Here is a 25249-nt window from a genome sequence, read left to right on the forward strand (position 1 = left end):
GTGTCTACTTTAAAAAAAACCCAAAAAACAAAACAAAAAAAACCACAAAAAATTAGTCGGTGTGGTGGCACATGCCTGTAGTCCCAGCTAGCTGGGAGGCTGAGGCAGGAGAATTGCTTGAACCCGGGAGGTGGGGAGGTTTCAGTGAGTCGAGATTGTGCTGCTGCATTCCAGCCTGGGCGTCAGAGAGCGAGACACTATCTCAAAAACAAACAAACAAACAAACAAAAAAACAAAACTTCTCAATTTAAAATATTTACTCCAATTTGTGGCTCACGCCTGTATTCCCAGCACTTTAGGAGGCTGAGGTGAGCGGATAACGAGGTCAGGAGATCGAGACCATCCTGGCCAACATGGTGAAACCCGTCCCTACTAAAAATAGAAAAATTAGCTAGGCGTGGTGGTGGGCACCTGTAATCCCAGCTACTCCAGAGGCTGAGACAGGAAAGTCGCTTGAACCAGGGAGTTGGAGGTTGCAGTGAGCCAAAATTGTGCTACTCTACTCTGGCGACAGAGCAAGACTCTGTCTCAAAATATATACATATATATGTATATATATATAATTTTCTTTTTTACTCCAAGTAAGCTAGGAGTATCTTCAGTATTGCTGAAGGCTTTATTTAATCATGCAGTGTGTATTTGATGGTGGATTACTCTCTGAATATTTATTCAGTTGAATGTGGAATGAGGTGGTATGAAGATGGGGGTGGGGGTGATTTGGAGGTCCTTTGACTATTCCTGCTGGCTCCCTGGTGAGGGTGTGGCATCTCTGCAGATGAGTTCTCCTGACTGTGCTCAGGCGGCTGTCTGTGTGCCCATCGCTCCTGCCTGCTTTTCTCTTTCCTTCCCACTTCCTCATTGTGTGAGACCATCCACTCCGTGTATTACTGGTTCCTTTCTACTTCATCACAAGCAGGTAGCACTTAGGATATTCTAGATGGAGCTCAGGGCTTTCTTCCCTTGGAGAGCATCATCTGTAAACAACCATGGAAGTGGATGTCACCCACTTCACAGGGTGGGGAAGCAACCACAGTGAGTAGGTAGTTTTCCAAGGAACCACGGCTTGTTTACGATAAACACCCAGTTCCACTTCCAAGTTCCTACGCTGTGAACATTACTGCTTCCCTGTACAGGGAAGGCAGGGTGGTAAATCCTTGATTCTTAGTGCTTGCTGGCTTTTTAGAGTGACATGAACTCAAGAATTTTAAATGTAGGTTTTAAATTCAATTCAGTCAATTCACTTTGAAGCCCACATTCTCGTTAAGGTCAGGAATTGCCCTATCAAATTTTTTTTTTTTTAATTTTTAAAATTTTTCGTAGAGACAGGGTTTCGCCGTGTTGCCAAGGCTGGTCTTGAACTGCTGGGCTCATGCAGTTTGTCCGCCTCGGGCTCCTAAAGTGTTGAGATTACAGGTGTGAGCTGCCGCACCCGGTCCAGTTTGGTTTCTGTGTCCTTTTGATGTACACTTCGTCTTTTTGAAGTTTTTAAACTTTATTTTGAGGTAGTTTTAGATTTACAGAAAAGTTGTAAAGATAGTACAGGGATTTTCCTGTATACCATTCACCCAACTTCCCTTAATCTTTCTGTAACTGTGGTAACTGTGGTGAATTTCTCAAAAGTAAGCAGTTGACACCGCTACAGTATTGTTAAATGTGGACTTTATTCATATTCCACCTGTTTTTCTGCTAATGTCCTTTTCCTGTTCTAGAAACCATCCGAGGAACCCAGATTGTATTTAGTTGTCATTTACTCTTAGTTACAGGTTGTCTGTCCCGTTGTTTTTCTTGACCGGGGTGTGTGTGTGTGTGTGTGTGTGTGTGTGTGTGTGTATGTATTTTTTTTTGTTTGTTTGTGATAAGTTGGGCCTGGTTAGTGCTTGGATGGGAGATAGGGTCTCGTTCTGTTGCCTGTGCTGGAATGCCGCGGTGCAGTCCTGACTCACTGTAGCCTTGACAACCTTCCTGGCTCAAGTGATCCTCCCACCTCAGCCTCCTGAGTAGCTGGGATGACAGACACATGCCACCATGCACAGCTACTTAAATTTTTTTTTTGTTGCACAGAGTTCTCACTGTGTTTCCCAGGCTGATCTTGAACTCCTGGGCTCAAGCAGTCCTCCTGCCTTGGCCTCCCAAAGTGCTGGAATTATAGGAGTGAGCCACTGCGCCTGGCCTGAGTCTGTGATTTTGGATAGCTTTTTAAATTTTCTTGCTTGATCTAGCATTAGCCAGTATAGTAAATTTTTATTTCAATTTAATTCTGAATTGACCTGTACTTTATAGCTGGTTTTGTCCAGGGCAGGACCACAGATTGTATCTGTTGTGATAATAATCTACACATTTATTCATTTTTGTTTGTTTTTTTCGACTTTTTTGAGATGGAGTTTTGTTCTTGTTGCCCAGGCTGGAGTGCAATGGTGCGATCTCGGCTCACCGCAGCCTCCGCTTCCTGGGTTCAAGCGATTCTCCTGCCTCAGCCTCTTGAGTAGCTGGGATTACAGGCATGCGCTACCACGCCCGGCTAATTTTGTATTTTTAGTAGAGACAAGGTTGCTCCATGTTGATCAGGCTGGTCTCGAACTCCCGACCTCAGGTGATCCACCCACCTTGGCCTCCCAAAGTGCTGGGATTACAGGTGTGAGCCGCTGTGCCCAGCTATTCATTTTTAGTTTTAATTTTTTTTTTAAAAAAATTATTTTCATTTTTTTGGAGACAGGTCTCGCTCTCACCCCAAGCTGGAGTGCTGTGGCACGCTTTCGAACTGGTCTCCAACTCCTGGGCTCAAGGAGTCCTCCCACTTTGGTCTCACAAAGTGCCAGGATTACAGGTGTGTGCCACCGTGCCCAGCCAATATCTGCACATTTATAAGCTGACATCTCTGAGAGCACAGGGCAGGATGAAATTAGAGGCTGCTGTAGGTCAGGGTAAGGGATAATGATGCTGGTGAAGATAAAGAACAGTGAATGAATTTCATTTATTTCAGAGGTAGACTCGGCAGAACTTTGTGATTTATTTGTGTCTGTGTGCTGAGTGTAGTGACGTTGGCGAAGGTGAACATTTCACAGGCACCTCGGAGCTCAAGGTAGAATTTACTAGAAAATGACCAGGTATGTAGGAGGTGGGGAGGATTAAGAGTTAAATTTTGGTCGTGTTCTATTTAGGATGTCTGCTGGACATCCAAGTGGCTGTGTCAAGTAGTCATCTGTCTATTTGTGTCTGAAGTGCCCAGGAGAGGCCTGAGCTTGGAGCTTACATCTGGGACTCATTGCTAAGTAAATTATATTTATGTAATGGGAAAGGATGAAAACCCACATGTAGGATGAGAGTTGGCCTTGAGCCTTTAGCGTTCCCGTAGTTTCTTTTATTTATTTATTTATTTATTTTGAGATGGAGTCTCACTGTCGTCCAGGTTGGAGTGCAGTGGCGCGGGCGCGATCTCGGCTCACTGCAGGCTCCGCCTCCCGGGGTTCACGCCGTTCTCCTGCCTCACCATCCCGAGTAGCTGGGACTACAGGCACCCGCCACCTCTCTTGGCTAATTTTTTGTATTTTTAGTAGAGATGGAGTTTCACCGTGTTAGCCAGGATGGTCTTGATCTCCTGACCTCGTGATCTGCCCGCCTCGGCCTCCCAAAGTGGTGGGATTACAGGCGTGAGCCACCGCACCCGGCCAGCATTCCCGTGGTTTCTTCAGCGGGCCAGTGGAGGGGTGAAAGCTGGTGGTGGAAGGCAGATGGAGAGAGAAGTTGGACAAGGAGAGCTGGGAAACGTCTGTGGGTGGTGCTGTGGGTTTTTTACTGACCTTAAATAAGAGCCTCCAGTGGCAGGCAGTGGGGAGCTGCAGCAGGACTGGGGGATGAGTCCAGGCAAGGAAGTGGAGCGGCTAAGGGTAAGCAGTGCAGGAGGAGCGCAGAGGTGAGGGCATCCACTCCAGGGGGTGGCTCTCATACTGCCTTTATGCTTTCCTTGTAGGGTAGCCTTCATTTGGTAAGGAAACTAGCCATTTGATGGAGTGCTGCATGAATACCGAGTGCTGTTAGTGGATGCTGCACGTACATGACAGAGCAGGCTTTCAGTGAGAGTGTTTTTGGTGGTGAAGTAAATCACAGCATTCCCCAGCTGGCCACGCGGCCCTCACCCACACCCACGTTCTCACCTCTGTGCTCACTGCCTCGGGAGGTGTCTTCCTCCCATTCCCACCACCATATGCACAAACACAGGCACACAAGTGCAGATAGAAGATGAGCTGTTTGGACTTGCGAGGGCATGTGTGCTTGGTGTGTGGCACATTGAATGGCCTCTTGCTATATATAGTGCTCAGAGGGGATGATCCAGATGTCTGGCATGGGGAGACTGGTACTGAGATTTCTGCTCTTGTTCTGTTAGTGAGAGTGGATTAGCAGCTTCCCTCTGTTTCTGCTAGGTACTGCCACTGGCATCACTGCCAAAATGCCACCTCAGATCGTTGGCAGCAAACTGGAGCTGGAGTGAAAATAACCTCACGTAGTCACTCAGCCAAGGGAATGAGGGAGACGTGAAGAAACGCTGGCTTTCCTGCTGCTTGTTGCCTGCTCTGTCTTGTGTGCTGTGACTGATGGGCAGGTTTTTAGTTACTGAAAGAAGATTGCGGTGTTCCTACTTACGGGAGTCGACTCCTGTCTTTTCTCTAGAGACTGGTCGGACCTGTGTGGCTTGAATCCTGTATGTTGCCATGTCATTCTAACTACCAGGGAGGAAATCTTTCATAACTAGGGGTTCCTTACCTTGTAACTTATTACATGAAGTCCCTAATATTTTATATTGATTATTTCCAAATGGAGTGGAAAGAACTGTGCAGTGGTATACCCTTAGGCACATTCTCCAATTAATATTTTATCTTTGTTTTATTATGTATCCAGCAAAGCTGATAACGTTAAATTGGAATAATTACAAGAAAATAGGAACAAGTTTTTTTCTAAGTTGTAATTTTAAAAATACTGGGAACAAATCTACTTAAGAAAAAGAACATTTTGATACTCTAAATTCCGTATCTTGTAGTTGGCATATTAAACTTAACACCTAGAATCTTTGCTGTCATGTATTTGAAGATGTACATTTCTTTTCTAAGTTTGATGTTAGTCATTCTGTCGAATTGATAATGTAGTTTATATACATCTAAATAGATCCTGATTTCCATTATAGTTTTTTGTTTTTTTGATGAAAGGACTTCCATAAAAACAAGAGTTTTAGGTCCAGGTTTGGTGGCTCATGCCTGCAGTCCCAGCACTTTGGGAGGCTGAGGTGGGAAGAATCCTTGAGCCCAGGAGTTTGAGACCAAGATCAGCAACAAAGTGAGACCCTGTCTCAATTAAAAAAAAAAACAAAAAACAAAAACCAAGAGTTGAAGTTTCCACAGATGTGTCTTTGTGGCTTTGTGATACTGTTGTCCTTCCTTCCTTCCTTCCTTCCTTCCTTCCTTCCTTCCTTCCTTCCTTCCGTCCTTCCTTCCGTCCTTCCTTCCGTCCTTCCTTCCTTCCTTCCTTCCTTCCTTCCTTCCTCGTTCCGTCGCCCGGGCTGGAGTCCGGTGGCATGGGCTGGAGTCTGGTGGCACGATGTCAGCTCACTGCAGTCTCTGCCTCCTGGGTTCAAGCAATTCTGCTTCAGCCTCCCGAGTAGCTGGGACTACAGGTGTGCACCACGATGCCGGCTAATTTTTGTATTTTTAGTAGAGACAGGATTTCACCATGTTGGCCAGGCTGATCTCGAACTCCTGACCTCAAGTGATCCACCTCCCTCGGCCTCCTAAAGCGCTGGGATTACAGGTGTGAGCCACGCGCCCGGCTGTGCAGATTCTTGATTGTTGTTTTAAAAGAGTAGGTTAGCCAGTCAAATTGAAAGAAGTAAATTGGTTAGGAAACGTCACATCTTAAAGCAGCAGTGTGCGTAGTTCCTCCTTGTGGGACCAGAGGCTACATCCTCCATTAGAGCTGGCAGAAGCAGAATGGGTTTCATTGTACATTTTACTGCCCGGGGAAGTAACAAGGTTGAACCACGTAATCCATAGGGGAACTTAGAGAATGAATCTCTGCTGCTGGTTTTCCACCTTCCATTCGGTAGTGATACTATCTAATTAGTGTGGTCAACAGGGCAATATTGTATTTCTTTGGTAGAGGAATGGATGGGAGCTTGGAACCAGAGGGTAAAGTTAACGCTAACTGCTGTGTAGTCAAAGGTCTTTCTCTCTTGGGAGATGTGTGGGAGGGCTTTTGCTGTTCCCTCGTGTGGGTGACAGAATGGTGGAAGGATGGCTTTCTATTGTTCCCATGTGAAGTTAGTTCAGGGCAGGGACAACGTGTTTGTCCTTGGAGCCCCGTGGTCTTGCCCGATGCCTGGCACAGGAATGCATTGAATGAAAGAGGTAACTGACGTTCCCTGAGCACAGACCGTGTCTAGGAACACATGACAGACTTTGTCAGCTAGTGGTCAAGTGGCACGGAGTCTCTGCCTAGAGTCACCTGTTGTTTAGTTTAGGCTATTATTAGGCTATTTCAGAGCTTTTTTCCCCGTCTCTAGAAGGGTCTTAGGGCATGAATCTGGGAACCAGTTCCCAGACAAGGTCTTGGCCCAGCAGGCTAGTGGTTAGCTCTAGTGGAAGTTCCCTCTGTAGGCCAGTAGGTGCTAAGGTGACACCACCCCTTCCTCCCTCTCCAGACCCATCCCACCACCGTGATTTGCCCATCCCCAGCAGCCTCATCACTGACCACCTGTTTTTACTTGCAGGACCCATTCCAACAATCTCGTAAAACATGGTGGATTACTATGAAGTTCTAGGCGTGCAGAGACATGCCTCACCCGAGGATATTAAAAAGGCGTAAGTAGTTTTATTTCTGTGGTAATGCATTTTCACAGTGGTACATTGGTAATTGAGTAGTATAACTTCTTCTATTGCCTATGAAAATGGCTTTTAATGTAGTATACCAGTCTTTGAATGCCACATAGTTTAATTTGACAGAGCAGTTAACGAGCATTTGCAGTCTAGGCCTGGGCTTTGCTCTTCATTAGTCAGTCACTTGGTTTATATCTGAAGTTGATGATTGTTTCACTGAGGATGTGAGATAATCCCAAACATCTTTTACATTGGACTTTGAAAATGGAGCTGACTTGGCATTCTTGAGTGCCCCTTTGGAAGGCAGGGGCCCAGAGTACATAGCACTCAAATTTTCTTGTTGTGATTGTTGGGCTCCGGCCTATGCCACTGGAGTCCCTTCTGATTCATATGAAAGTTCGAGAACTGCAGCGCTGCCTGTGGTACCTGCATCTGTGTGACCAGGGCCTGGCCATTGTGAGGAGGGCAGTTCAGCCACAGAAGGCTCTCACGGTAACCTTAGTCTGTTTAATTAATGAGGTGTTAACTGTGAATGTAGAGTATACAGCAAAGACGTCATGAAACAGATTGTTAGATTTTAACATAGCTAGAGAGCAGTTAGCCTGGAATAGTTGGAACCAACTTAAAAAAATTGTTAATAAATAATGGAGTGTCTATACTGCTAGACTTAGTGGGTCTGAAGATAGAATTAACTTTTTTGGGGGCCAAATAGTTCATTTTGCTTAATTTTTAAATTTTAATAAAAATACAGAGTCTCAATATGTTGCTCAGGCTGGTCTCAAACTCCTGGGCTCAAGCGATTCTCTTGCCTTGGCCTCCCAGATTGCTGCGGTTATATTTGTGAGCCACTGTGTGTAGCTGAGATAGTTCATTTTAAAATGCTAAATTACGGCCAGGCAAGTGGCTCACACCTCTAATCCTAGCACTTCGAGAGGCCTAGGTGGGAGGGTCACTGGAGCCCAGGGGTTTGAGACCAGCCTGGGCAACAAAATGAGATACTGTCTTGACCAAAAAAAAATAGTTGGGTGTGGTGGCACATGCCTGTAGTCCCAACTGCTCCAGAGGCTGAGGCAGGAGAATTGCTTGAGCCCAGGAGGTTGAGGCTGCAGTGAGCTATGTTCGTGCCACTGTGTTCCAGCTTGGGCAACCAAGCCGAGACCCTGTCTCAAAAAAGCCAAGTCAGGATGGCTGACGTTGCCTGAAGGTTATTTGAAACCTCTGCCGAGGAACCTAGTAGAAGCAGTCTACTGAGGAGAGGTCAGGCAGGCCCTGATGCTGTCACTAGTAGAGTGAGGTTTCCCACACTGTGAGGAAGCCTGTGCTGCACACTTGAGGCTCACACTATTCTTATCAGTAATGTTAACAGCCAGGCATACTTGACAGATTATAAGACGAAGACAGTTGGGAATACCTTACTCCTCTCGAATAAGTTAATGGATGTATTAGTCTGTTTTTACGCTGCTGATAAAGACGTACCTGAGACTGGGAAGAAAAGGAGGTTTAATTTGACTTACAGTTCCACATGGCTGGGGAGGTCTTACAATCATGGAGGAGGGCGAAAGACACTTCTTACATGGCGACAGCAAGAGAATGAGGAAGAAGCAAAAGCGGAAACCCCTTATAAACCCATCAGGTCTTGTGAGGCTTATTATCAGGAGAATAGCACGGGAAAGACTAGTCCCCATGATTCAGTTACCTCCCCCTGGGTCCCTCGCATAACACCTGGGAGTTCTGGGAGTTACAACTCAAGTTGAGATTTGGGTGGGGACATAGCCAGCCCTTATCAATGGATAAGCATAATATGTGTACAGTGCTTTCAGTAATGATGGAAATTACATACCTTTATGATAGAGGTCATTAGAGAGTAGATTGGTTTTAGTTGTTTCTGAGAACATACAGGTTGCTGAGTGTCTCTAGCATGACGTTGAAGTAGGAATTTAGAAAAGGCTGTTACCTTTAAAAGCAGTGAGATTTCCTGCACTCCTGAGTGTACAGTTGTATAAATGCTGACTTTTAAAAATGAGCAGAATGATAGCTATGGGGGCGTGCTGTTAGTCTATCTTGTGTACCCTTGGCTTTGTGTGTTGACAGTTTTTGATTGAAGACTTAAAGGTCTGTGGCTGCCACCTGTTCTGCATCTCTCCTGAGATACCAGACTCTTCCTGGGTTTGAGTCACACACCATGGGCCTTCCTTCCTTGGTGCTGAAGTACTGGTGTGCAGGTCCAACAGATCTGAAGGTCAACATTCAAAGTCATTTGGCACTGTTTACACTTGCATATCGTGTTGTATTACACCTTGATTTTTAAATATTTTAGTAGTGTATGACTGGGGCATACACAGTTGAATCTTGTCCTGCATTCTCATCCATTGCCAAGTTTTCATATGAACACTAGATGATAGGTAGTACTGCACACTAATCATTTTTTCTCTTTTGTCTTTTGTATGGTCTGTTATTTTTGACTGAGGATTTCTGGCACATTTAGGGTTATTTGATCCACTGCTACACGTTTTTTTTTTTTTTTGAGACGGTGTCTCGCTATGTCACCCAGGCTGGAGTTCAATGGCGTGATCTCGGCTCACTGCAACCTCTGCCTCCCAGGTTCAGGCGATTCTCCTGCCTTAGCCTCCCGAGTAGGTGGAACTGCAGGCGCCTGCCATGATGCCCAGCTAATTTTTATATTTTTAATAGAGACGGGGTTTCACCATGTTGGCCAGGATGGTCTCGATCTCTTGACCTCGTGATCTGCCTGCCTCAGCCTCCCAAAGTGCTGAGATTACAGGCATGAGCCACTGCGCCCGGCTGCTACATGTTTGTTTAGGTCCACAGTGACATAAATTACTGTTAAGTATTCTGGACTCCAGCTTTAATCAGATTTTAGTATGGTTAAGCCAAGGTTTTGTTGAACATGTTGTAAGTTAAATTGAGCCACAACAGCTTTACAGTAATAACTTGCCTAGTGTTAAAAGCACTGTCAGATTAGTATACTAGTCTGAAATTTTGAGGGGTATGCTGCTTCTCTTTTTTAACGTTACCCTCCTTTTGAATATATGCTGCTTAGGTTTTGCTAATTAGACTAGAGGATTTTTTTGTATTCATTCATTCATTCATTCATTCATTCATGCATTCATGTTGAGCCGGAGGCTCGCTCTGTCACCTAGCCTGGAGTTCAGTGGCACGATGTTGGCTCACTGCAACCTCTTTCTCCTGGGTTCAAGCAATTCTTCTGTCTCAGCCTCCTGAGTAGCTGGGATTACAGGTGCGTGCCTTCATGTCCGGCTTTTTGTATTTTTAGTAGAGATGGGGTTTTGCCATGTTGGCCAGGTTGGTCTCGAACTCCTGACCTCAGGTGATCCACCCACCTCGGCCTGCCAGAGTGCTGGGATTACAGGTGTGAGCCGCTGCACCCGGCCTTTTTTTTTGTATTTAAATAGCGTGCAATTATTTGGTCAGTTGGAACTCTGCAACAGAATATGACCTTGGTCATAGAATCTTTGTAGAAGTCAGTGTTTTAACTCTGTTTAGATCTTGAATCTGGCACAGAGGGTGTTTGAAAGATTCTGAGATCCTGGCCTGTTGGGTGGCAGGTGATTCACCTTTGGCACACAGATGAGCTAGGTAGTGGGGCTGGCTGAGGAAGTAGGGTCCTGGGAATCAGAACATGGAAGGATATGAATGGTGATGTTGGATCTTGCTGCTCAGTGACCCAGGCCTTTTTTTCCCTTTTTAAAAATTTTTTGAGACGGAGTTTCGCTCTTGTTGCCCAGGCTGGAGTGCAATGGTGCGATCTCGGCTCACCACAACCTCTGCCTCCCAGGTTCCAGTGATTCTCCTGCCGCAGCCTCCTGAGTAGCTGGGATTACAGTCAAGTACCACAATGCCCGGCTAATTTTGTATTTTTAGTAGCGTTGGGGTTTCTCCATGTTGGCCAGGCTGGTCTCGAACTTCTGACCTCAGGTGATCTGCCCACCTCCCAAAGTGCTGGGATTACAGGCATGAGCCACCACGCCTGGCCTTTCTCCTTTACTTCACATACTTGCTCAGTCTTGTCACTGTCAGTCCACGTTGTGGACACTGTGATCTTTATTTTTCTATCTCTAGAGGTTCGTTTGTATTATGCTATCAGGATTTTTATTCTAAAACTTACTTTAATGAGTATTTTTACAATTTTAATTTTGAGACAGTCTTGTTCTGTCGCCCAGGCTGGACTGCAGTGGTGTGATCATAGCTCACTGTAGCCTTGAACTCCTGGCCTCAAGCAGTTGTCACGCCTCAGCCTCTGGAGTAGCTGGGTCTATCTGTGGCTGCACGCCACTACGCCTGGCTATCTGGATTTTAGAACTTTGTGTATTTCATTGTAGAGGAAAGGGAGGTTTTACAGTTAAAACCAGTATTCATCTCACCAGTTGGCAGCTCTGAAGCCATTCTCGTGGTTAATGATGTTAGTTTCAAAAGCATAGTTGATTTCTGGATTTAGAATGTGATCTATATCCTTTATTCTTTCCAAGATATCGGAAACTGGCACTGAAGTGGCATCCAGATAAAAATCCTGAGAATAAAGAAGAAGCAGAGAGAAAATTCAAGCAAGTAGCGGAGGCATATGAAGTGCTGTCGGATGGTGAGTGACAGCGAGCTGCTGAAGGACCCTGAGCGGGCATGCCGGAATGCGGAGTGGGTGTTGGGATCCTCCTCAGGGTAGCACAGTATGGACTCAAGTGACTTGTTTTTGATGCCTACTGGATTTTGGGCCCTTCTAAGAGATTTTTACTTTTCTCGTGAAGATTTGAATTGATTTAGGTAACCACGAGTGCTGGGGAGCTCCAGGGCTTCTAGTAGTTTCTCCTAGGATGGCTGTTTTAAAAGCGGGACTAGACATCCTGGGTTTGAGGAACCTGGGAGAGAGGAGGTTGCGGGACTCAGGTCACTGTGCATGTGGCGTGCTTGCCCCCGTTGTGTGTGATCATTCTGACCTTGCTCACCCCCACTGGCTTAAACAATACCATTCCAGTGGAGTCAGCTTTACTGCTTGAGAGGATGTCATTAGTTCCCAAAAAGAGGGGATGGAACATACAGCTAAAATTTAGATTTCCAGTTTCAGGCCTGTTTTCCCCTCCTAGGTCTGGAGCAGAGGTGTTCTATGTTACTGGAAGTCAGATCCATTGGCCTAGTTCACAAATGGGTGAGGGGTCAGAGGTCAGCTGTCGCCTAGATGCAGTCAGGGTTCCATGGGGGAAGTAAAGGCTGTGCATGGGGCCTGGGGTGGGGGAACAGTGACAGAACTGGAAAGCCACACAGTGCCCCTGTCTGCTGCAGTGCTGGGTGGCCTGTTGTGAGCAAAGGCCGAGGCTTTTCCAAGGTTAGGGATGGACTAACTGAACCCTGGAAGTGGGCACTTGGTTAAGTGTATCTGCATGTGGTCAGGTAATTGGCCCTTATTTACAACAAAAAAAATTTTTTTTTTTTTTAAAGAACCCAATTTGAGGCAGAGGTTGCAGTGAGCCGAGATTGCGCCACTGCACTCCAGCCTGGGCGACAGTGCGAGACTGTCTCCAAAAAACAAAACAAAACCAAACCAATCAGAAGGAACCCAGTGTAAGCTTGCCACCTTCAACAGCTACCAGCACACCACCAGCCTTGCTTTCTCTGGTGACACTGTGGCCCACCCCCTTTGTTTTAGAGGAAATTCCAAACATTTTACTTCAAAAAATATGAAAAGACATAAAAACACCGATATTTGAAGTCTTCTTGAAATGTGGCATTTAAGGTCTTGAACTGTTGAGCTTATTCATTGGAAAGTTTATTTTTTTTAAAGAGAGAGGATCTTGCTATGTTTCCTAGGGAGGCCTTGAACTCCTGGGTTGAGGTGATCGTCCTCTCTCCTCAAGTTCCAAGCACCATTGCGCCAGGCTTGTTCCCTTAGATTTGTGCGCTGGGAGTGACAGAGGAGGGCACAGGCCTCAGTGTTACCATCTTGGTCTTCGGTCCTTGTTGTTTGTGTGCTAATTCAGTATTGCCAGATTCAGGATTTTAGGGACTAGTAACATTAGGAAAAGTGAGGGCCAAAATGAAGCTTCATATTTGATAGAGCAGCTTTAAACTACCACACTGAAAAGTCGCTTGGTTCTTTTGGGAGGTGTATGAGGTGTGTTTTTCATGTCCTTTTAGGCAGCCTTCAGTGCCAGCTGGAGTTGTCTTCAAAACATGGTCATTGTTCTTGCCATGGCACTGGCTACCTGAAACTGCTTGCAAGTGGTTTGTTTCTAAGCTCGTTTTCCCATTTTGTGGAATGTGAGATTTTCTTCTACTTTTTAAAAATTGAGAAGGGGTCTCACTCTGTTGCCCAGGCTGGAATGTAGTGGCATGATCACAGTTCGCTGCAGTCTTGACCTCCCAGGCTCAAGCGATTCTCCCATCTCGGCTTCCTGAGTAACTGGGACCACGGGTGGGTGCCACTGTGCCCAGCTAACTTTTTTGTATTGTGTTTAAAGGTGGGATTTTGCCGTGTTGCCCAGGCTGGTCTTGAACTCCTGGGCTTAAGTGATCCACCTTCCTTGCCCACGCAAAGTGTTGGGATTATAGGCGTTAGCCACTGCATCCAGCCTATGAGATTTTTTGAGGAACGCAGATGGTGTCATGTCAGAAGTACCAGTGCTTCTAATGTCATTGTTTTTGTTCTGGGATATAAGTAGCATTTGGAATGTAAGTGTGAAGACTGTCAGTGGAGAGGGGCACACTAGCCCCAGGCCTTGCATCCGGGTGGTCCACTTCGAGGGTGAATGAGCCTGTAGGGTGTTAGGTTGGCGCCTTTCTGGCACATCTGCTTTCTCCCACTTGCCTAGGCCCTGGCATGTTTGTTTTCGTGCTGCAGATATGGTCCTCTAATTGGGTTTTTGTAGTAAGATGGTGCACTTCTGTGGTTGCAATAATCTTGTACTTGGTCGTGTGATTTTAATGTAGCATGTCTGGGCTCTGTGCAGTAGAGTGAAAGAAACGATCTAATGGAATAAAGAAAAAAATTTTTTTTTGCTTTTGAGATGGAGTTTTGCTCGTTGCCCAGGCTTGAGTGCAATGGTGCAATCTGGGCTCACTGCAACTTCTGCCTCCTGGGTTCAAGCGATTCTCCTGCTTCAGTCCCCTGAGTAGCTGGGATCACAGGCATGCGCCACCATGCCTGGCTAATTTTGTATTTTTAGTAGAGACTGGGTTTCTCCGTGTTGGCCAGGCTGCTCTCGAACTCCTGACCTCAGGTGATCGGCCCTTCTCGGCCTCTGAAAGTGCTGGGATTACAGGTATGAGCTACCTCGCGTGGCTAAGTCCCCCCCGCGCCTACTCTTGTTGCCCAGGCTGGAGTGCAATGGCACGATCTTGGCTCACCACAAACTCCGCCTCCCGGGTTCCAGCTATTCTCTTGCCTCAGCCTCCTGAGTAGCTGGGATTACAAGTGCCTGCCACCACGCCTGGCTAATTATTGTATTTTTACAAGAGATGAGGTTTCACCATATTGGCCAGGCTGGTCTCAAACTCCTGACCTCAGGTGATCTGCCCACCTTGGCCTCCCAAAGTGGTGGGATTACAGGTGTGAGCCACCATGCCTGGCCGTAAATACTTAAATATTTCTAATAACTTGTAAAAATTCAACATACTGAATTTTTTTTGAATTGTTTTTCAGGAGAGAGGTACAGAAAGTTTTCCCTGTTGCTTTGTTTTGTTTTAAAGAAAAGGTGGCCATACTCCTTGAAATTCAGTTGTAAAACATCGAAAACTGATTTACAACTGGGGAAATACCTTATCTATTGAATTAAGGGTTTAAAAGGAACTTGGCCTTACCGACTTTTCTTTCAATTTTTAGCTAAGAAACGGGACATCTATGACAAATATGGCAAAGAAGGATTAAATGGTGGAGGAGGAGGTAAGTACGTGAGTTTTTTCTTTGAAGACAAAAGGTCTTGGCAAGTAAGTTGAGTTTGTAAATCACGAGTCTCTTGGTCAGAGTCGATTTTGTATCAGTAAATAGAGATGCAACGTAGAAAGCGAACTAAATTGGGGAGAGGACAGAGAAATTGATGGCATTTAAAAGTCTTTTACGAGACTAGAAGTATATGTTGATGTATTTTTTATAGATAGAAACAATTTGTAACCATACTGCAATATATTGTGAACATATACCCTTAGATCAGCACTTGACGTTATGTCAAAATATCCTAAGGGTTTAAAGAGCAGATTTTCCTGAAAAGCTAAAATAATGACTTTGAAGGGCGTGGACTTTGTCCCCAAAAGTTCCCACGGTCACTGGGCTGTGACCAGCCTCCCCAGGGGTGTTGGGAAATTATTGCTCCAAACCCACTGGGGCCACGCGGCAGCTTCTGTGGCTCCAGGAGGCCAGTCGTCGAAGTGGATGCAGATACTCTTGGTCTTCATAAACCTTCATAACAAATCATAAAAATGGTGTGTAATGTTACATGTTATATGCCGATCACGGATTTAGAGATGGTGAAAAGTAGTGTCGAAGGGGCCACTGCTGCACTCATATGCCATCAGCGCTGGGCACACTCACTCTCTGTCAGTACAGGGCTCATGTTTTGAATTATAGAGAACTTCAGGTTTATGAAATATTTTTGTTTTTATTAGTTCATGATTTGTATAATGTTTTGTCAACAAAGAATTCTTTGCCTACAAAGCACCAAAATTCATAAACTAAAAGCTGTGTTGTATTTGTGCAGGTGGAAGTCATTTTGACAGTCCATTTGAATTTGGCTTCACATTCCGTAACCCAGATGATGTCTTCAGGGAATTTTTTGGTGGAAGGGACCCATTTTCATTTGACTTCTTTGGTAAGTTAATCACGTGGGTTGACTTGGTGTGTGTCCATGACCCAAATGAGGGCTTACTTAGTATGGCCTTTCTGTTGAATTAACATTGTATTTTAGGCTGGGCGCGGTGGCTCATGCCTGTAATCCCAGCACTTTGGGAGCCTGAGGCGGGCAGATCACCTGAGGTTGGGAGTTCAAGACCAGCCTGACCAACATGGAGAAGCCACGTCTCTATTAAAATACAAAATTAGCCGGGCATGGTGGCGCATGCCTGTAATCCCAGCTACTTGGGAGGCTGAGGCAGGAGAATCACTTGAACCCGGGAGGCAGAGGTTGCGGTGAACTGAGATCATGCCATTGCATTGTTGTCTGGGCAACAAGAGTGAAACTCCTGTCTCAAAAAAAAAAAAGTTAACATTGTATTTTGTCACGAAACTTTGTGTTTAAAGCAGCATTGGACTAGCCTGAACAACATGGTGAAACCCTGTCTCAACAACAACAAAAAAAATACTAAAAATTAGCTGAGTGTGGTGGCGTGTGCCTGTGGTCCCAGCTACTTGGGAGGCTGAGGTGGGAGGATTTCCTTGAGCCTGGGAGGTTGAGATTGGGCCACTGCACTCCAGCTTGGGTGACAGAGCAAGGCCCTGTCTCAAAAAAATAAAACAGCACAGTAGCTGTAAAATCTTTTCTCTTCTTCCTCTTTGAAAATTTAAGTTACAGCTTGAAAAATTAAAATAATAAAGGGTTTAATGTATTTTTTTCTTTGTTATGTATGGCCTTAATTAACTTGCTTTTGCCCTCAGAAGAGACAGTGGTAAGGGCATGGGTGCGAGTGTCTTGGAAACGTTGTTTCCCATTGAACAACCAATTGGTGTGTGAATTTGCCACATCATATTCCTGGTAAAATCATTAAGCACCATAGTACTGTTGGCAAGACCTTTCATCCGTAAACATTGTGTGTGAGGACTGTTGTTGAGAGTTTGCGGAAAGGCACCTCTAGAGCAAGACTGCGGAGGCCTTTGCTGAGGAGAGAATGGTTTTGTTAAGGGAGACAGTGCTGTTATAGCTGCTGTTTGATTGTAGGAAAATGGATTTCTCATCAGTGGCATCTCAGTCCTGATGCCTGGTCCTAGGCGTTGGTGTATGTCTTGGGCACAGTTTGGGTCAGGCACTTTTGTTAGCTGTCTCCTGTTAGAGTCTTCTCAACCACTGGGACTTCCTGAGTGGTGCACTGGGTGACCTGAGAGGTCAGGATTAAACATGTACTCCTGTAGTTGTTTTTGTCTTTTGACTTATTGAAAGGGAAACACATTGTATGTTTACCTCCTTCATTGCCTGGAGCTTGGGTGAAGAAACTGAACACCACCTGCAACTCGAGGAGGGAAAGAGAAGAGTAGTTGTGTCTACAGATAATACAGGGGAGAAACGTGGAGCTCCTGCCTGCCGCAGGCACGAAGAAGCATAATCACTCTCATATCTGGTAGGTCTTGGGCCTTTTGCATGGTGCAGTTCTTCAGTGTGTCTCAAATGGGGATTCAAAGAGGTTGTTCTTACACCTTATTATGGGCTGGCTGGCTTGAAGAGAGCCCCTTTCTGAGGGAGGAAGGACAGTCAGTGGCCTCAAGCATTTTCAGGGAAACTGAAGCTGAGCAGGCGATTTCCGATTAGGGGACCGGGAGACTGGCGTGCTCATCGTTTAAGTGCATTTGCTGTAATCACTGCTGCCATCAGCAGAAACAGAGCTCAAGAAAGAACCATGTTTACATCCGTCCTTCATCAACCCTCACAGGCAAGAAATATTTCTCTAAGAAAAATAATTTACGGATTGATCTCTGTCTTAAAAATGACCTTTGCATCTTGCTGTAGCCTTCAGCAAACTGCATTTGTTGCTTTGCAGGACAGGGCAGTGTTTGGGTTGAAGTCCTGTGTTCTGATCGGTGATTCTCATGGTGACCAAGCGAGGAAGAAGGCCCGCTCTTCCAACACCATGGCTTCTCTTCTGGGGCACACGAGGTGAAACGGGCTGTCCTCGTGATGTCTGAGACCGGGCGTCTTCAACAGGCCCTGCTTAACATTATGATTAAACAGGGCTTTCTTACCATTATTATTAAACAGGCCGTTTCTCAACATTATTATTAAATAGGCCCCTTCTTAACATTGTTATTAAAGAGGCCCTTTCTTCACATTATTATTAAACAGGCCCCTTCTTAACATTATTATTAAACAGGCCTTTCATAACGTTATTATTAAACGGGCCCCTTCTTCACATTATTATTAAACAGGCCCCTTCTTAACATTATTATTAAACAGGCCTTTCATAACATTATTATTAAACGAGCCCCTTCTTAACATCATTATTAAACAGGCCTTTCATAACGTTATTATTAAACGGGCCCCTTCTTCACATTATTATTAAACAGGCCCCTTCTCAACATTATTATTAAACAGGCCCCTTCTTAACATTATTATTAAACGGGACCCTTCTTAAGATTATTAAACGGGCCCTTTCTTAACATTATTATTAAACAGGCCCCTTCTTAACATTATTATTAAAGAGGCCCTTTCTTAACATTATTATTAAACAGGTCTTTCATAACGTTATTATTAAACGGGCCCCTTCTTAACATTATTATTAAACAGGCCCCTTCTTAACATTATTATTAAATGGGACCCTTCTTAAGATTATTAAACGGGCCCCTTCTTAACATTATTATTAAACAGGCCCCTTCTTAACATTATTATTAAAGAGGCCCTTTCTTCACATTATTATTAAACAGGCCCTTTCTTAACATTATTATTAAACCGGCCTTTCATTAACGTTATTATTAAATGGGCCCCTTCTTAACATTATTATTAAACGGGCCCCTTCTTAACATTATTATTAAACAGGCCGTTTCTCAACATGATTATTAAACAGGACCTTCTTAACATTATTATTAAATGGGCCCTTTCTTAACATTATGATTAAACAGGTCCTTTCTTAACATTATGATTATTATTTTAATTCAAAGGGGAAGGGTCCCTTAGTGACTGAATTGTAGCTAATTTTTGTTTTCCTTGGGGAAAATAATCTGATACACCAAGCCATAGAGCAATTACTTGTAAAGAAGGTATAGAGATCTAATTAGATGTGAGTGAATAAGTGAGTTTTTACCCCTAGTCCAAGGAGAGAGGTGCTAGTCTTACTGAAGCGCTTTACTGTTAAATGCTCCATTTTACATGCAGACCTATTTTAAGACCAGGTACCCTGTGTTTCCCATGATTAGTGTGGCAGTGATACTTGTTCATTCCGTTCTTATAGGTGTTCTAGATGACTTCCATTTTCAGGCTCTCAGGATTTACACACTGGGGAAGCTGCTGCTCCATGGCTGCTATATGTATGTAGTCACTGAGCAGCCTGCTGACGGTATGTTTAATGTAGATGGGTGTGGATGCAGAGCCAGAGGGATTTCCGCTTATTCATGATGTAGTTCAGGGGTCAACACCCTGGTCTGTGGCCTGTTACGAACTGGCCTGTTGGGAACAGGAGGTGAGCGGCGCGCAGGCAGGCAAGCATTACTGCCTGAGCCCCACCTCCTATCAGCTCAGTGGCAGCATTGGAGTCTCATAAGGGCACAAACCCTATTGTGAACTGCACACGCGAGGGACCTAGGTTGCGCATTCCTCATCAGAATCCAGTATCTGAAACCATCCCCCTACCCCAACCCATCACCCACTGTGTGGAAGAATTGTCTTCCATGAAACCAGTCCCTGGTGGCAAAAAGGTTGGGGACCGCTGTTGACAAATCATATTTACTAGACCTGGTGTACTTTCCACGTGACGAAAAAGTAGTTTAAAATGTGCTGTAAGATATTTCCGAGCTGCACTTTACATTTATCAGAATGCAGAACCCCTGCTGTACTTCAGACCTCCCTCATGATAGGTGGGGAAGGGTGAAGGGGTGCCGGATGTTGGACACATGGTATGCAGGTCTGTGCCTGAGCACCAGGCAGTGCTCACTGTCACACTGTGGCCAAGGAGACTTGGGCCTGGGGCCTGCGGTGTGGAACCCGTCCTTTACAGAAGAAGCCCTCCCAGGAGAGGTCGCGGAGGCGGATTCTAACACCAGCCTGGAAGGAATGCTGCCTCTGAATTGGAGGGGTACAATCAAAACTGCTGAGGCTAGGTGACTGTCGAAATTTCCAGAATGTGGAGCACATGCAAATGAGCTCTTGTCGAAATGTTAATTGGAAAATATTAATAGGCAGTGGACTTATTTGAATTAGGATGCTCTCTTTATTTTATTATTAGAGGACCCTATTGCTCAGTGAAATGATGTTCTGAGATAGGAAAGAAAGGGTACCTGATAATAGTGCCTTTTGATCCCATTAGTCACAGCAGGCATTACATCTGGGAAAAGCCTGTGGGTTTAACTTCACATTTTATTTATATTCTTGGAAAACCAAAGCGAACCTTTAAGGTTTCCAGAGAGGCCTTTTATTTTAGCAGTGCAGCAAGTTTTTCCTTTGTAAAGCATCACTGTGGTACGAATGATGCTCTGTAGCAATAGAGGAGGAGTCCTGTGGTATGTAGAACCAAGGAAAGCAGACTTCTTGCAGGAAAAATGAGTGCATTGAGGATAGTAACCTGACTTTCTGACCTGTGATTAAATTATGATAGTAGTCAGTCATTTTACTCTCCCAGGGTTTGAGGAAGTGGCCGGTGAGGACTTGGAGCCTAGTGAGGAGTTAGTAGAGCTGCCCAGGGTGGAGGAGGCCACAGAGGACAGCCCTGGTGAAGAGAACAGTGAGGCCTTGGATGTGTTGATATCCAGCAAGGACCTGGCACTGTCTAGTGAGGACGAGGCCTGCACAGGATGTAACTGGGGCCTGGGCGAGCCCTTCAGCGAGGAGCTGGGGCTCATATCCAGCGAGGACGGGGCCAGCCCTGGGGACGTAGAGGAGCTCGGCGAGGAGTGCGAGGAGCCGCTGAGTGAGGAGGAGCACAGCGGGCCAGAGCTGGGGCGCTGCCGGCACCACCATAAAGTGTCAAGGAGCTGCCCGAGTGGGACTGACTTAAAACAGTGTATCTAGAATAAAATGGTTTCCTCTAGTGCCTTGATACTGTCCTTGGTCAGACGACCTCAGCTGCCTTGGAGATAGAACTGAAGAAGCAAGAGAGGGAGGTGGCAGCCCTGAAGCACAGGCCGGGCGTCTCGTAGGCTCTTTCCCTAGAAGCCAGAGCACAGACCCTGAAGACAGCCTTGAGTTTGATCCGTACCACAAACCGGGGGCTTAAACTACCAAAATGTACCATCTCCCAGTCCTGGAGGCTGGCCATGTGAGACCCAGGTATTGCAGGGCTGGTTGCTTCTGAGGCTGAGATGTGTCCCGTCTTGCTCCAGGCCCTTCCCCAGCTGTTCTTCTCCCTACATTTGCAGACGGATGGCCCATCCGATGTTGACATCATCTCCTTTGTGTCTGTCTCTGTGTCCATTGGATTTAATGTTTTAGAGACAGATTTCACTGTGTTGCTTAGGCTGGCCTCCAACCGCTAGGCTCAAGCAGTCTTCCTTCCTCAGCCTCCCAAGTAACTGATCACAGGCATGAGCCACTGTGCCCAGCCACAAGTTCCCCCTTTTTATAAGGACATCATTTATATTGGCTTAGTGCCCACTGTAATGATTTCATCTTAACTTGATAATCTATAAAGAGCCTGTTCCCAGTAAGGTCACATTCACAGGTACTGGGGATTAGGACTCTAATTTAATCTTTTTTGGGGACCATGATTCAACCACTTTAACATCATATTTCTAACGGGTAGATTTTTGTGCTAGTCTTTGAAATTCACAGCCAAGCAGCAAATTTTGAAAGGTGAAAGGAGGAGGAACCTTTAAAGTTAGACATGTGCCCTCACCCCTCGCTCTGAGACAGAGTTTTGCTCTGTCACCCAGGCTGGAGTGCAGTGGCACAGTCTCAGCTTACTGCAACTTCCGCCTCCCAGGTTCAAGTGATTCTCTTGCCTCAGCCTCCCAAGTAGCTGGGATTTCAGGTACCCACCACCACACCTGGCTAATGTTTGTGTTTTTAGTAGAGACGGAGTTTCACCATGTTGGCCAGGCTAGTCTCGAACTTCTGACCTCAGGTCATCTGCCTGCCTTGGCCTCCCGAAGTGCTGGGATTACATGCGTGAGCCACCATGCCTGGCCAAAGTTAGATGTGTTAATGAGAGCTAGAAGTTAGGGGTCAAGTACAGGCATGGGAGTGGCACAGCAGATTGGATCGGTGTGTGCTGGTGACCTGGACCCACTATCATTACACGGCGCTACAGCAGTTTGTTTGTAATGAGTGTTCTTTGATTACTTTGGACAGAGTTCATACACAGGCACACCTACACACAGGTCACTTAGAAGAAGTTAAGGAGTCTTTTTAAATACACATAAAAACATCACATACTAAGCCAGGCATGGTGGTGTACCCCTGTAATGCCAGCTACTGGGGAGGCTGAGGTAGGAGATTCCTTGAGCCCAGGAGTTCGAGTCCAGCTTGGGAAAAATAATGAGATGCCATCTCTAAAAATTTAAGAAAAAAAGGTTAAAAAATGAAACCGTGATGTACGAGACTGGTTTCCAGCTAAAGTTGTTGGAACCATCCTTGTGTGTAATTTCACATGGTCGTGAAGCAGTGGGCAGTCCCGCCCGGCATCCCCACGCGCTCTTCCTCTCATCTGGTGAGAGTTTCTTGGAGAACATGCCAAACTCATGTATGGTTGTGTGCGTATTTGAGAACTCCTCGTGTTGAGATGGAGCTGTTTTTTGGAAGTATCTCATTTTTTTTGAGATGGAGTCTCACTCTGTCGCCCAGCTGGAGTGCAGTGGCGTGATCTCGGCTCACTGCAACCTGTACCTCCCGGGTTCAAGTGATTCTCCTGCCTTAGCCTCCCAAGTAGCGGGGATTACAGACATGTGCCACCGCGCCCGGCTAATTTTGTATTTTTATGAGAGACAGGGTTTCTTCATGTTGGTCAGGTTGGTCTCGAACTCCTGAGCTCAGGCGATCCACCCACCTCGGCCACCCAGAGTGCTGGGATTACAGGCATGAGCCACCGTGCCAGGCCGTTCATTTCTACTGAAAATTATCCTGGCTAGTGAGGATGGGTGCCATGTTAGTGATCTGCGATTCTTTTGTGCTGTTTTTCAGTACATACTTGGTCGTTTCAGGACCTTTGTTTCCTCTGACGTCCTCCCTTAAATAGGGAGAGGAAATGGTTCCTGGAAACGGTCATTTTGAGAATTTTCTGTGCTGTGAGAACTGAGGCTCTGGCTACCCCTCTAAAAGGCTTGAGCCATGCTGTAAGAGTTTGTGGGCAGTGTTTCTGTGGTGTTTCCTCCCTTGTATTTTGTGGTGTTGGTCCCCCTAACAGGTCTTTGTATAGTGTTTGGTTCACATTGTTGGCATGACAGTCACCTGAGCAAGACGTTGCCTGAGTCCTTTGTCAGTTTGGGTTTTCGCATCATCTGTTTCCAGTGGGATTTTGGTCCCTGGTCAACTTGTGGACAACTCCAGAGATTGAGATAGTTGCCGTATCCTTAGTGCTCCCAGGGGGAGATGTTCTGGGACTGTAGGTGCAAGATGTAGGAAGAGTGATTTAAACTTGAGGCTGCAGGCAGACCTGATACTGTGTTGGGCTTTGACAGGTTTAGGGAATACCAGTATTTATAGGCAGTATGATAGTGTAGGGGGACAGTGAGGTGGAAGGTGTGATGGTGGAGGAAAGATGAATCGGCCATCTGCGAGTAGGGCTCAGAAAAGAGCCTGGAGCCTGCTGCTGTTCTGGTGGTTTCTTCCCTGAGCAATGAGGACTGTGGTTGGGAAGAGGCCCATTCCTCCTGACGCCAGAGTTCCTCATCTCATGTTGGCTCTTTTGTATTTGAAATAGAATAATTTGATTGCAGTGTATTGTGGATTCTTTGACTTCGATAGATTTTTGTAACTTTTGGGAAACAGATTACTCTAACCAGACCTGGGAAGTAGCTAGAAATTATACTTGTAATAAAAAACAATTATATGGGAAGCTGAAAATGGTGGTGTTCATTTAACAAATATGGCGTGCCTGCTGTTTAGTGCCAGGCACTATTCTAGGTGCTGGTTTGGCAGTGGAGAGAAACACTGAAGCCCTGTTCTCAGGGCGTGCACTTCAGGGCGGAGCTCCGGCCGTGTTCTTCATTGGCTCCCATTGCGTGTTGTATTCCAGATTCCTAACAGTTAGGTTATTTGCTACTTCTGAAAATGTGAGTTGTAATAAATGAGTGCCTGGTTTTGAGAGGAGTTGGGAGAGCAGAGGAAGTCTGTCTTTCATGCTTGCCTTTTGAATCTCAAGCGTTTCTCCCTTTTGAGGGCGGCTGTCTAGGTTTTAGCTTTGGAACTTGAGGAGAGAGTGACATATTTTCCTTTGTTTGAAATAGCCATGGTGCTTTTTCAGTTTTGTTTTGCTGTCATTTTTTTGTTCCAGCTTTTCTGTGCACTTGGGGAATTGACAGTGGGTCCTGAAATCATGACAGCAGGCCTCTCCTGGGCCGCGGCTGGGAGTGTGCTGAGGAAGGGCGAGCTTAGTGCTGCCCTGAGATGAACGTGGTTGGTGGGAATCCCTTCGCTTCGTTGTGAAGCTGTTCCTGTTCCATCAGGTTCTCATGCTTGGTAAAGCTCAGAGAAAATGTGTGGGTTTAAAACATGTTCTCCACTTCCTCAGTGTTCTTCAAGTTTGTATGTGGGTAAATGTTTGTTACATGTGTTTTGTGGTCAGTTTTCTCACACTGTTCATTGTATATATATATTTTTTGGTCATAAATTTGTGACTGTTCTTTAGATAGTCAGTTTAGTATCTTGTTAATGTTATGGGCCCCTTAATGCATTGGTCTTAGTATTCCTCAGGGAATAGCATGATATTGCAAAATTTTAAAGAAGCTCTTGCTATACGATGCCCAGAATGTTGAAATGGAAGAAGTGTCACTGAAAAGAGTCAAACTGTAAAATATTTGAAGAGATGTATTCTGAGCCAAATATAAGTGACCATGCTGGTGACACAGCCTCAGGAGTCCCAAGAACATGTGTCCAAGTGGTCAGGGTGCAGCTTGGTTTATACATTATAGGGAGGCATGAGACATCAATCAGATCATAACCTGTAATCCCTGCACTTTGGGAGGCTGAGGCGGATGGATCGCTTGAGGTCAGGAGTTCCAGACCAGCCTGGCCAACATGGTGAAACACTACCTCTACTAAAAATAAAAAAATTAGCCAGGCGGGGTGGCAGGCACCTGTAATCCCAGCTACTTGGGAGGCTGAGGCAGGAGAACTGCTTGACCTGGGAGGCAGAGGTTGCAGTGAGCCAAGATCGCGCCACTACACTCCAGCCTGGGCGACAGAGCAAGACTCCGTCTTGGGAAAACAAACAAACAAAAAGAAATACATTGTTTTGGCCCAGAAAGGCAGGACAGCTCAAAGCAGGGGGGCTTCCAGACTGTTGGTGAATGAAAACATTTTCTGGTTGACAATTGGTTGAGTTTGTCTAAAGACCTGGGATCATAGAAAAAAAATGTTCAG

The 25249-nt window shown here is 45.6% G+C and overlaps 1 protein-coding gene across 11 annotated transcripts in view, besides 2 other annotated features; it reads left to right on the plus strand.

The window, feature by feature from the left end:
* DNAJB6 (DnaJ heat shock protein family (Hsp40) member B6) overlaps positions 1–25249 on the plus strand; it is an 80436-nt gene that overhangs the window by 14789 nt on the left and 40398 nt on the right. For all 11 annotated transcript variants that reach the window (NM_058246.4, XM_006715823.3, NM_001363676.1 and 8 more), the window contains 4 exons: positions 6755–6845; positions 11369–11478; positions 14710–14769; positions 15581–15691. In NM_058246.4, coding sequence (NP_490647.1) covers positions 6781–6845; positions 11369–11478; positions 14710–14769; positions 15581–15691 — 346 coding nt within the window. In that variant the 5' untranslated portion in view covers positions 6755–6780. The remainder of the gene's footprint in view (positions 1–6754; positions 6846–11368; positions 11479–14709; positions 14770–15580; positions 15692–25249) is intronic.
* Positions 5983–6032: an enhancer, noted in NCBI's record as "active region_26928". NCBI's record gives its function as "activates an Ori minimal core promoter by ATAC-STARR-seq in GM12878 lymphoblastoid cells {active_cell/tissue: GM12878}" and the evidence as "EXISTENCE:reporter gene assay evidence [ECO:0000049][PMID:35858748]".
* Positions 21635–21833: a silencer, noted in NCBI's record as "fragment chr7:157166121-157166319 (GRCh37/hg19 assembly coordinates)". NCBI's record gives its function as "represses an EF-1alpha promoter that drives an FKBP-Casp9 reporter gene in an ReSE screen in phorbol 12-myristate 13-acetate-treated (for megakaryocytic differentiation) K562 erythroleukemia cells {active_cell/tissue: K562(+PMA)}" and the evidence as "EXISTENCE:reporter gene assay evidence [ECO:0000049][PMID:32094911]".

This window comes from Homo sapiens, chromosome 7, assembly GCF_000001405.40.
Source record: "Homo sapiens chromosome 7, GRCh38.p14 Primary Assembly".
NCBI lineage: Eukaryota > Metazoa > Chordata > Mammalia > Primates > Hominidae > Homo > Homo sapiens.